Source organism: Homo sapiens, chromosome 12 (assembly GCF_000001405.40).
Source record: "Homo sapiens chromosome 12, GRCh38.p14 Primary Assembly".
Taxonomy (NCBI): domain Eukaryota; kingdom Metazoa; phylum Chordata; class Mammalia; order Primates; family Hominidae; genus Homo; species Homo sapiens.
The window spans coordinates 85,615,004-85,627,846 of NC_000012.12; the positions used below are offsets into that span (position 1 = coordinate 85,615,004).

At 35.7% G+C, this 12,843-nt stretch overlaps 1 annotated feature.

Moving 5' to 3' along the window:
* Positions 10,755-11,954: an enhancer, noted in NCBI's record as "MED14-independent group 3 enhancer chr12:86019536-86020735 (GRCh37/hg19 assembly coordinates)". NCBI's record gives its function as "activates an origin of replication core promoter dependent on BRD2, BRD4, P300/CBP and CDK7 cofactors, and independent of MED14, by STARR-seq in HCT116 cells {active_cell/tissue: HCT116}" and the evidence as "EXISTENCE:reporter gene assay evidence [ECO:0000049][PMID:35650434]".

Below are 12,843 nucleotides of genomic sequence, written 5' to 3' on the forward strand. Positions count from 1 at the left end.
GTACTGCCCTCGGCCCAGGAAGTCATGTCTCCTCTCCTGGGACCCATACTTAAGAGAGTCGTACACATGAATCGCTTTAAATTACAGACTTCAAAGATACAAAGAATCTAAATGTGTAAATTTATTTTCATCAAATTTATCTTCATTACTGTCTCAGCCTCCAAGATAGCATATTTACATGCTAAATAGCTTCTGGACATTTAGGCTTTTACTCTCTCTCTCTCTCTCTCTCTCTCTCTCTCTCTCTCTCTCTCTCTCTATATATATATATATATATATATATATTCTTTCCATGTCCCCTTTTAAGCACCTTAACTATATAAACTTCAGAAGATTTCCTGATATTTTGGTTTTCCTTCTTTTAATGGTCTTCTATGACTTTTCTTGAAAATGCTTTTCTAAAACGTTTCAGCATCTAGTCCAGAGAAGTAAATTCAGTAGTTGACTTCGGGCACTGTGATGCTGCTTCAAGAAGATAGTAATTTTCTTTGTCAATGACTGACTTTGCTAGAGAATTTGTAAGGCGGAAGATAGAGGATTCCTTTTTTTCTCTTCTGCTCCTCAGAAGAATATCTTTCTTCTATATGTGTCAAATTTTTTTAAAGGAAAACACCTATCTAGTCATTGATAGATTTGAATTTTAAGTCTCAAAATAATCTCTAAACTACATTGATCACTTTTGTACTATATATCTGATTAATAACTGCTTTGAAGCTCTTATAATAGAGGTGTTATTAGATATGTTCAAGGTTCCTACGATAAACATTCTCTTCTAGTGTAGTCCAGTAGTCCAGTAAACATGGCAAGAGTAGCTTTTCCATTCAGATACCTCAAAGCTTTGACAGAAAAGCATCTTTTTAATTTTTTTTAAAGATTTCAAATTAAAACCACTAAATTAGGTCAACTCATTGTCTCTGGTTATTTAGAAATAAAATGGAAGATGCTATGGAGAAACCATAATGAACTTAACAAATAAAATACAATAAGATGTAGCATGAGCCAATCAAGAACTACTTTGCCTGGAAATGTGAACATAACAAAATAACAAACTTAAAATTGTGTAGCTCTTTCTCTGTGGAAACCTTATGCCAACAACAACAACAAATCTTCCAGTGAGGTGTTTTATCTCTAGGTAGAACTGCTTCAAGTACAGTTAAAGGATCAGCGTTTTTCAATCCTAGTCCCTTTTCTTCTTACTTTCTCAAGTGGAAATAAGTCAAGCATTTGACATAAAGCAAACTGAAGGAATACAGTATTTAAAATAGGTTGTCTCTTCCGTAAGGAAATAACAGATCTGAATCTTCTTAGCTTACCTCTAACAGTTTATACTGGCAACAATACAATTTAAAACAGCAGATGGTTACTTGCCTATCATAGATAAGCGGGAAAAAAGCTAGTGAGATACCAACTGGGATTGCAGCTGGGAAAACTTACAAATTTCAGCAAGGGCTACAGAGACTGAATGTTTATGAGCAATAAGGAATGGAAAAATGAACAGGAGGCAAAAACCTTAATACAAAAAGGAAAGGTTAATGTGGCAGGTGGTGTGGGCCTGTTACTCTTTCCCCTAGGAGAGAGCAAATGCATTTGATAATTTTCCTGTTGCATAATGTGTACACCATCAGAAGAGTGCAGCATGGACACAAAGGGCTATAATGAAGCAAGTAGACTCATCGTGTTCACCACTGAGCATACCTTCACACTGCATTCAGTAAATGGCTCTTTTCTGCATACACAATCAAGCCTGTACTCAGCCGAGCTTTCCTTTCTCCTCTGTTCATATTAGAGTGTTTCTTTTCCTGTCTCATCATGAACTTATATCAATTATGCAAACTTATTAATATATGGATCACCTCTGTAGCATGTGGCTATTGCTCTAATTTGCTCACAGCAAGCTGAGATTCCTAATATACCATTTGGAATAAATTATACAGGCTATAGAGTTTATTATATTTTAGTGCAGTCTGGAACAATTTTCTATATCTCATTTGATTCCTTTTGCCTATTTTGTTATTTAATCTCTATGTTTCTTCATCTGCAAATGGGGATAATAATAGTACCTACTTCATAGGTTTATTGTGAGGATTTAATGAGTATACGTAAAGCATTGAAACAGCAAAGCCCTGTGCTGGCTACTAAATGCTATTTTTAGTAGTATTAATGTGTGCAGACAACACTGCAGAGCAGTTTACTGCAGACCCTCTTCTTGCTTTAAAAGTTCCAGCTTCCCTCCTTCTACCCTACTAGTGCAGCAGATAACTTTTTAAAATTATAAATAAAAAATAGCTGACATTTAGTGTTCACCATGTGCCAGGCACTATTCTAAGTATTTCATATGTATCAACACATTTAATTTTTACAAGATCCTATCATGAAAGTGTTAATATTTCTATTTTACATGTGAGGAAATGAATGCACAGAGAAGTGAAAACTGTTTTCCTGTGTCAACGTAGTTAATAACTGATGGAACCCAGCTTCAGAACCAGGCTGTTTGGCTCCAGGGTCCACAACCATTTCCACTTCTGTACACAGCTGTCTCTGTTTGTTCTCACATTATCCTGTCTTTATGCCTCAGTTCTTTCATTCTAGTCCCAACTCAACTGAGTTTCTCACCTATTCTCTGATTGATTACTTCCCACTTGCCCTGTAATTCTTTCTTTCCAAGTATCTTTAATTTTTCCCATTTCGGCCACATTCCAAACAACCAGCTTTCCTTTTTGAAATTAATAAATGTAACCCTTTAATTAGTGTGATAGTGTCCTAGAAATATTCCATTTCCTCGCCTTTTCTTTACTCCATATTTAACTTCATGAGACAAAGCCTATCCCAGCTGTTGGCAACTGTTACCAAGTTCTTTCCTCACCTATTCCCACTACCCCATTGTAACTGCTCTCTGGAAGTTACTGTGACCCAGGCAAACCTAGAGACCTTTTCTGGCTCTCCTCTCATAGAAGGGCCTTTGGAGATAAAGCCCACAAAAACAGTTATTCCAGGAAATGAGTGAATTAGGATAACTGCTATGAGAGACAGTATAAAAGACTTCCTTTAAAAATTAGTGCTCCTTTTATTTATTATCACTTCAGGAGCTATTCTTGATTACTTAGGACTTAAATAATTCACTATGATGTAAATTTTACCGATATATTTGAAATAAGTATATAATTTTCTATATTCAAGGATTTCTTTTTTTCATTATTTTGACATTTTCTTAGCATTGTTCTTTTCCCTCAAACTTTAACAATGTTACAAATAAAAATCCTTACAAATGAAGATGATTAGCATAATAATGTCCATGACCCTTAATTTCTTAAAGCAACTGATATTTAAAAACTAGTTTGACAGTTTGTCATTAAACTGTAAGAATTATCTATGAACTTTTCAGATAATTGCTAATTTAAAAATATCCATGGTTTGTAACTGTGTATTGTTTAAAGGGAATCACACATACACACACTCTCTCTCTCTCTCTCTCTCTCTCTCTCTCTCTCTCTATATATATATATATATATATATATATATATATATATATACACATACATATATGTCCCAACTGACATAGGCCCTGAGTTAAATTCAGGATCTAGGAAAGGGTACTTCTTGATTCAACTGGCATTCATACAATGTCATTTCCTGACTGGGTATTAGGCTCAGCTTTTAAAGGGTATCTTTGTGTCTCTCACAACACACAGCACAGTGTATGAGGTAGAATAATTATTCTACTATTCCATTCTATTATTCAATAATTACTCATGGAATGAATGCACGACTCTATGATGGGTTGGAGAGAATGAGGAGAGTATTTTTATAGTCTCTCTTGCTTCTCACCTCATGTTTTACTTAAGAACTATGTGGTATTTTAGAAGCAGAATCTTGGAAGTTTAACTAAAAACAGGGGGAGGAGAGTGATAATATTCCCTCCTTCCATCCAGTTCTATGCTGGCATCTTGGCTTTTACTAGGTAACAGTAGTTACCTGGCTGAATATTATAATAGTCATAATAATGCAAAGGCTGAATATTGACTTAAATAAAATTGTGCTAGAACTATGTTGGATTCTGTATTAGTCAGGGTCCATCAGAGAAATATAAACATCACAAGATATGTATTAATATATACACATATACATATATATTCATATATATACACATTTTATATACTATATATGTATTTTGTGTATTTGTGTGTGTATATGTATATGTGTGAAAGAAAGAGATTTATTATAATAAATTAGCTCTCTGAAGCCGAGGTGACCATAAAATAATTAAAAATGGAAAAAAACAGGCTTACATGGTTTTGGAGGCTGACAAGTTGCAAGATCTGCAGGGTAAATTGGCGAGCTGGAAACTGAGGAGAGGCGATGGTGTGGTCCCAACCTGAAGTCTGGCAGACTTAAGACCCAGGAAGAGCCAATGTTGTAGTCTGAGTCTAGAGATAAGGTAAAACCAATATCTCAGTTTGAAAGCAGAGAGGCAGAAGGAATCCTCTCCTATTCAGGGGAAGCTCATCCCTTTTCGGATGAGGTGTACCTGCTTTGGGGAGGGTACTCTGCTTTCCTCAACCTGCTGACTTAAATGTTAGTCTCGGCCGGACGCGGAGGCTCACGCCTGTAATCCCAGCATTTTTGAGAGGCCGAGGCAGGTGGAACACTTGAGGTCAGCCTGGCCACCACGGTGAAATCCCCTCTCTACTAAAAATACAAAAAATTAGGCCAGGCGTGGTGGTGTGTGCCTATAGTCCCAGCTACTAGGGATGCTGAGGCACGAGAATCGCTTGAATCCAGAGGGCTGAGGCTGTGGTGAGCAGAGATCATACCACTGCACTCCAGCCTGAAGTTAATCCCATTTACAAACACCCTCACAGAAACAGCCAGCATAGTATTTGACCATATGTGGGTACCTCATGGCCCAGTCAAGCTGACACAAAATGAACCATCACAGATTTTATAAGAGTGTAATATATGGTGGGCCGGGGGGCTGGGGGTGGTGGTGCTAAGCATGGGGTGGGTGCAAAATAGCAATGATTATTAAAACAACTTTTTTGGAGATTTAAAACAAGCTAGTAATATAGGCATATTTAGAGGACTCCAAAAAAAAGACATTAACAAAATTACAGTTTTAAATAATATTTAACATTTATTATCATCAGTACTCAGTTGTTTGATTTGTTTTCAATATTTTTTTTCACGTAATTCTTATAGAAACTCTGTGGTAACTGTGATTGTTGTCACCATGTTACAGATTAGCAAAGTTTACCTGTGACACAGTGGTTAAGATCACACATGGACACTGGAGTCAGACTGCTGGGGCTCAAAGCCTGGTTCTGCTACTTACCAGATGACTGACGCTGAGCAATTTACTTAGCCTCTTTGTGCCTCAGTTTTCTTATCCATAAAGTGGGTGTAATAACAGTACAATATGTTCTGATGGCTGTGATTTAACTGACTTAAAATTTGTAATGTGTGTAAAACTCTTAAAGCAGTCCTGACACTGATGGAAACTAAGTGTGTTAATAATAACAGTAATAATTATTATTTTTGTATTATTTGCCACCAGAAAAAAAGTATTATTAGCCGCAACTAAGACCAATAGCAGCTACTAAATTTCCCAATGTCTGGCACTGTAACACGTTTTTTACAGATCAGTCTTATGCAGTTTTAGAGACAATATTAAGTGTTTTGATATGCATTTTCATCTTCACAAAAAGTCTAGCAGGTAGATTTGATTATTCTCATTTTTAAAGCAAGGAAATTGAGGTTTAGAGAATCAGCATGGCCATTTGATGGTATGGTATATCTCTTTTTCCTTCTCTAACTCAACTAAAATTAGAGGAATAAAACAAGAATAAATCCACAGAAAGAGTCCAAACAAATGGTAGATAACCCCACAGGAGGGCTGGCAACCTAATTTTGGAAGATGGAAAGTGAGCGAAGGTATGGTTACTGTATAGATCATTCATCTATGCTCTTAGCTCAAATCCATCCTTCTTTGTGATGTTGGACATGGGTCTCTGAACTCCATTTCTCAGAAATCCTTGCTGGCTGGCTTCTTGTCAGAGTCTCTCAATAGGGGGGACTAAAGGGAGATCAGACAACAAGAGTTTCTTTGTGTTCTGATAAAGATTCTTACCCTGACCAAACTTTAGTCAGACTCCTCTGAAGCTTCTTGCCAACTAGGCCACAACTTTTGGACTTCTGTGTCTGTCTTGTATCACTCAATTTTAGCAAGAATCCTGCTAAGCTGGTTTAGCGAGAATCCCTCACCTTCAATGACTGATCATCCTCAATATAATATCTGACAAATTTCCCCACCCCCTACCATCCCACAGGCGATGTCAGATCACCCTGGCTTGTCTTCATCAAGAGCTATGTCAGGTCCAAACAGCTAGAATCTCCTTTTACCCCTGCTGTTTCTTCTTAGTGATGTTCTATCCACTGCTCCTCACCCCATTTCTGTCTGTAAATTTCCACTTTATCTTGCTTGTTATATTCAGAATTGAGCCCAGTTCTACCTTGAGATTATTTTCCCTGTTGCAATGGTCCCAAATAAAATCTGTTTTTATCTATTTAGCTACTGATCAGCTCTTGTTTTCTTGGACAGTTCCCCTGCCCCACCTGGCCTTTTGGTTTGAAATGTTAGCTTCTTTCAGGACTCTCAGAGCTAGCTGCCTCATGTCCCTGCAGAGGTACCAGCAGCAACTACGCTTACATTGTGAACCCCAGTTCTGTGAGGACTCTCCTCTGTTCCTCTAGGCTCTGAAAACCCCATCACTTCTCTTTTGTTCCTTAAGCCCTAGAGGGGGTGGTAATTATATCCAACTTTGTAATCAATTATTTGAGTCTAATTTTCTTTGCTTGATATAACTTGTGTGGTTCATGTTTTTTTCCAGTTGGTCCCTGAGCGACCCATTAACTGACTTAATAACTTAATAGAGAAGAGAAAACTGAAGCCTGTTTAGATGAGGAAATAAACATGAAGTGAGAAGACTGAAGCCACAAAACATCAGAAAGTGTCAGAAACTGTAAACATGAGGAACCTGTGAAGATGAGGACAGGGGTGGGATGAATAGAGAAGGCCTGAGAGTGTGTCTTAGAAGCAGTTATATTCTACATATTCTTTTCCTTTTCCATACAGAAAGATGAACGTTTTTACATGGCTGTGGCAAGAAACAGAAGGTTCACTTTCACAATAACCGAAGCAGCACAGTCTAAAATTCATCCTAGAGCAGTCTCAGAATCTGGAACAACAAAAATGGTGAAAGCAGGGTAGAGCAGATTTAAGGAAATATAGCAAGAATGGGAAATGGGGATTAAGTGAAAATCATCTTATTGAAAACTGTCGTTGCCATCTCCTTTGAACTCTGAAACACTGACAGCTAGGTTCACATGGAAAGCAGAAATTGGATCATTATTCTCTTGATACGCTGAGAACCACAAGAGAAATAGCCATAGGTCCTGAAATTTGGTCTCCCAAATAGCTACAAAGACAGCTTGACCGATAGTCACTGGATAGTGAAACTCACTGGGTGAAATGCCCTGTTCCTACACACTGAAATTTCAGTTGCATGTTTGAGAGTTAAATATGAATGGCCAACCCATTGGCAGTTGAACAAAAGTGCTAATATAAGGGGCAAAATGACAACCAAAAAAAAAAAAAAAAGTAGAAAAAAGAGGCAAAGTAATAAGAGAGGAAAACATCACAAAATCTATTACTATATTTAGAGAAATAAAAGAATATAATTCTGCTTTTAAAAAAATAAAGATTATTTAGAGAACAAGAATATGTTCTTACAAAAATCAAGAATCTGGTAGCAAAATTAAATACACATATTTTTGGATATTTATATGCAATATACTTTTATATATACATATATGTATGCAGTAGAAAAAAAAAAGTTCGAGAAATTTCCCAGAAAGTAACACTAAAAGGAAAATTCATGGATATTAAGAGATAAGAAATGTTTAAGGACAATCATGAAAGTTAAATATCTGAATGCTAGGAAATCCAGAATAAGAAAACAGAGAAATTGAAGGGTCAGGCATGAAGAAGGAAAGATGCATTAATTATCAAGTAGGTAGTAAAAGAAAATTTCCCAGAACTGTGAAATATTAGTTTCTCAATTAAAAGACTCCATAGATAGCACATGAATTAAAACAACAACAACAACAACAACACACACACACACACAAATCATGGCACTTCATTATGTCATATTAGAAGACCAGAGATAAAGAGATGGTCTGAAAAACTTAACAAAAAGTTAAGAAGAGGGAAAAAAAGACACATGCAAAGTATCAGGAAATGGAATCGAAGGGGATGATGGCTTTTCTAAAATAATGTTAGCATTGCTTACATTTTAAACTGTAATCCTGATTGTCTTCAAATTAAATTTAAAGGTATGCATGGAATTTGCCAAATATCACAAAAGTAAATAATGACATGGTGGGATTCTGATCCAGATCTACTAACACCAATTTCCACCTTCTTCAATAGAGTTCAATATAGTTAGAGTTGGTGCAGAATAAACACAAATAAAGGAATGATTAAAGAAAAACTTTTTGAAAGTCAGTGTTGTGCTTGGTTTTCAAAATGATGAATCTGAATTGCTTGATAAAAGTAGAGAAAAACATTTACAGTTGATTAAATGATCACATGCTATTAAGCCTAGGAAAACTAGCTTTATTAAGGTGGAAAGAGTTTATTTGATAGGGTGTCTACAGTGTTTATAATACAGTTTACCAGGTACTTCATTCTCTTCTCTTTTCCTTTCATCTAGTAAAGACACCATTCTTCTTTCCACCCTGACTCCAAATGACCCAAGCTTGGCCAATTCTAATATCTTTCTCCCGTGGCTATAGTGATGATAGGCGCATGATACAAGGAAGACAAACCAGATCTTTACCCTGATATTTATAAAACTGGACATGTGACAGAGAAGGTCCTTTTTTCTAAAGTCATGAAACTGTTAGAATAAGAGCCCAGAGCTGCTAAGCACCATGTCTTTCACTATGTGAGGCAAAGTGGGAGAAAGGAAAAAAACAATGAGAGTAGAGTTTCAATAGCATTTTGAAAGCCACAATTCAACCTTGTATAATGCCAGCTTACTGATGTCTTTCCAGTGATTTGTTTGTATGAGACAATAAATTTAGCTTAAGTGAGTTGGGTTGACCTTCTATCACTGAACTTTAGAATCTTGGCTAAATCACAAGAAGTATTTGAAGGGTTATAGGGTACAAGGGAGAAAGTTAGTTGAGTAAATTTTGATGAAAAACTAAAGAGTGATTATTAGTTATAATAACTAATGGGGGGCAGTTCAGATTGTAGACTTGTTTAAAGTGATAAAACGGTTTTTAACAAAGTCACTTTTTCTATATCATTAAGAAGATGATATTGGGTGACAAAAAGGCTAGCAATAAAAAACAAGCCAAAATACAACTGTAAGAGTTCACTCATGATAAAGGATGAGTCTACCCTATAAAAATGGATGAATGTAAATTCTTTCTTATAGTTGTGCTTTTTGTTCATTTTAATTACTTGGATTTCTGCAAGCTGATAGTATTTAAAGGCCAAAATTTTTGATATTTATTTCACAGAATAGGTGAGAAAATAAAAACAATTTTTGAAAAGTTATAGCCAAAAAAAAACCAAACAAACTGTGTAGAGTTCATAAAGTGTTCTAAAACCTCTTTAATGCTAATTATGTTCCAGGCATTATATATAGCACTGCATCATCTATTTAACGCAACTCTAAAAGGTTCTTTTTATTGGGTCCATTTTTCAGATGAGGAAACCAAAATTCAGAGAGTTTAATGACTTGCCTGTGATTACACAGTCAGTAGGTAGAAACGGATTCCAACCAAAGCCTACGTAACTCCCAAATTCATCCTTTTCATAATGCTCCACTGCCAAATGGAAATGCATATCAAGTTTCATAGGTATAATTACCATGCTCTCACAAAAGAATATGTAAATTTACAATAGTAGAGTAGAATTTTCATAGATAAGAACTTTTATGTTCTGTTTCAATTTAGATACTGAATCTAAGGTTCTTTGAGAGCAGGACATGGCTTATACCTTTTGTCGTTATGTTGACTGCCCAAACAAAATTCACTCAATGCATTTTCTTTTTATTCTTAGAATCATATTAACATGATTCTTTATATATGAATTTCAATTTGCAACACTCTTAAACCTAATTTATTCTAACTGAATAAAAGTAATTTCTGATTAATAAATTTCATAGTTGATATATGTCATTGAGTTTTCCTTTCCAACTATATAGTTAAGTGTGACTTTCTGTTTTCTCAGTTTCAGCCAAGGCCCCAAGAGGCTAGACAAAACAATAGGTGTCAAGTTCCTACCATGATAAAGAAGGTTGAGAGGCCACCTAAAGAAGACTTAGAGGTCCTCTAGACCTGCACCGTGTAATACTGTAGTCACTGGTCACACGCATCCATTTAAGTTCAAATGTAAAAGCATTAAAATGAAGTAAAATTAAAAATTAAGTCCTCCAATTGTACTAGTCACATCTGAAGTGCACAATAGTCATGTTTGACTAATGTTTCTCATATTGAACAGTGTAATATAGAATATTTCCTTCATTGTAGAAAGTTCTGTTGGACAGCATTGATCTAAACAATGTGAAAAACACTTATAATGGAGTAGTTAAAAAACTGCCCCTTCAGCATTAACCTATAACTTATCCTTATTCCTATAAGAAATGCCCAAGAAAATGTGATTAGACATTGATATCTAACCCATTCCTCCAAAAAATATTTAAAGCCCTAATTTGTATCATTTTCTAATTTCCATGATATAAGTATTTCCAACGTATGGTTTCAAGCTACCGTGATAAAGCCACTGAATACAGCGTTGGGAATTGACTCTACCAGCTCTTCCGAGCCCTTCATATAAGCTTCATCTCCATAATAAACATTGCCTTTTACCAATTAAACCACAAAGCATGCTGGAAGAAAAAAAACCGGCATCCAACATGAAGGCCTGATACTAAGTTACAACTGAACCCGTCACATCTGGCCTTTTTGCCCCTGTACCACTTCTCTGCTCTCCTGTACTTGACACTGCAGAGATCAGAAATATGAGGTAAGAAATGTAAATACAGAGCAAAATATGAGGTAAGAACTGCCAGAGAATTAGATAAAAAGCATATCAAGTGAAAAAATATTGTCAACCCTGCATTTTCTCCCCCAGTATAGCATGTGACAGATGTAAACTGAAGTAGGAGAGAAGTTTTCCATTAGATAATGGTGTGTATTTTTATAGAGAATGACCTGGTTTTTTTGCTATTTGAAAATTTTCTAAAAGCTGTGGAATCTATCCAACTTCATTAGGAAAAAGAAAAAACATCTTCAGATAAAATTCAAAAAGTAGAGGTGAAAAAAAATACAGCTGCATTCTGCCTGTACCTAACCTAGTCTAACTAGTTCAATAAATTGGTTCTATAAGTAATATAGAAAGTCAAACAAGAATGAATGCCTAGAAGAAATTTAATCCTAAATATAATTTTAATAAAGTGAAGTTATTATCATGACTAATCCCAACCTTATCTGGGCTACCCTCTGCTGTTGCAATCACTTTGTCAGAATTAGTCACTTCCTCTCACCCCCAAGAAAAGTTATTTTTCCAATTAAGCTCTTAGTACAGTCTTCCTTGGGTTTCCTCTAGACTGCCTAATCTCCTCTACTGTTAATTGTTGGGGGTTGGAATCATGGGGTGTTTATTTTTGTATCCTTGCCATGCTTAAAATGAGATACAGTTTTTCACCTGTATATAGTTGTGTACTGCAGTGTCTGTGGGAAACATTTGATCCCTTTAGTAGTTTAAGAAGATTCTTTATACTAGGTATGAAATTGGTTTGCACAAGTTATTCATTTATTTGTTTTTTTGAGACAGTGTCTCACTCTGTTTCCCAGGCTGAGGGGCAATGGTGTGAACTTGGCTTACTGCAGCCTCGACCTCCCAGGCTCAAGCAATCCTCCCACCTCAGTCTTCTGAGTAGCTGGGACTACAGGCACATGATACCATGCCTGGCTAATTTTTATTTATTTATTTTTTTTTTTGGTAGAGATAGAGTTTTGCTATAATGCTAGGCCTGGTCTTGAAATCCTGGGCTGAAGCAATCCTCCCACCTTGGCCTCACAAAGTGCTGGGATTACAGATGTGAGCCATCACACCTGGCCTACACAAGTCATTTTATATTGGCATGTAAATGTCAGTTTAATTCCAATTTGGGTGAATAAAATAATAAATTCTACTCAATAAAAATAAAAATAAATTACATTTTATTATCCAGTGGGGAGGATTCATAGCCCACACAAATCTAGTAAGCCAACAGAAGTTGGAAAGAGCATAAATGTTAGGCACAATGAATCTTCCAACAGCACAAAATTATTTGTCAATTCTTGAGGAATGTTTTTCCTCAGAATTTTATACAATAAAAAGGATAACTTCTTAACTGCATGTGTGAAATTGTTTAGTAAAATACGTAGAGATTGTCAAATATCATAATTTATGTAAATTAACATAATATATGAAATTACTATTTTGTGGTAACAAAGAAGAACACCACTAATTTTCAATTCCACTAGAACAAAGTCTGTTAGCTCTTATTCACATTCATTCTACGGTTTCAAATCTATGAATCATTTTACTTGCCTAAAGGGGCTTATGTTTGATCGTATCTATTTTGAACTAATTTATGCTCTTGATTCACCTCCTTCTGAGACTTGCTACATGCACAGCTCTCCACATCTCAATTGGTAGTAACAGTATCAATTTACATAGTTGTTCTGGGCCAAAACCTTAACATCATCCACAACCCCACTCAT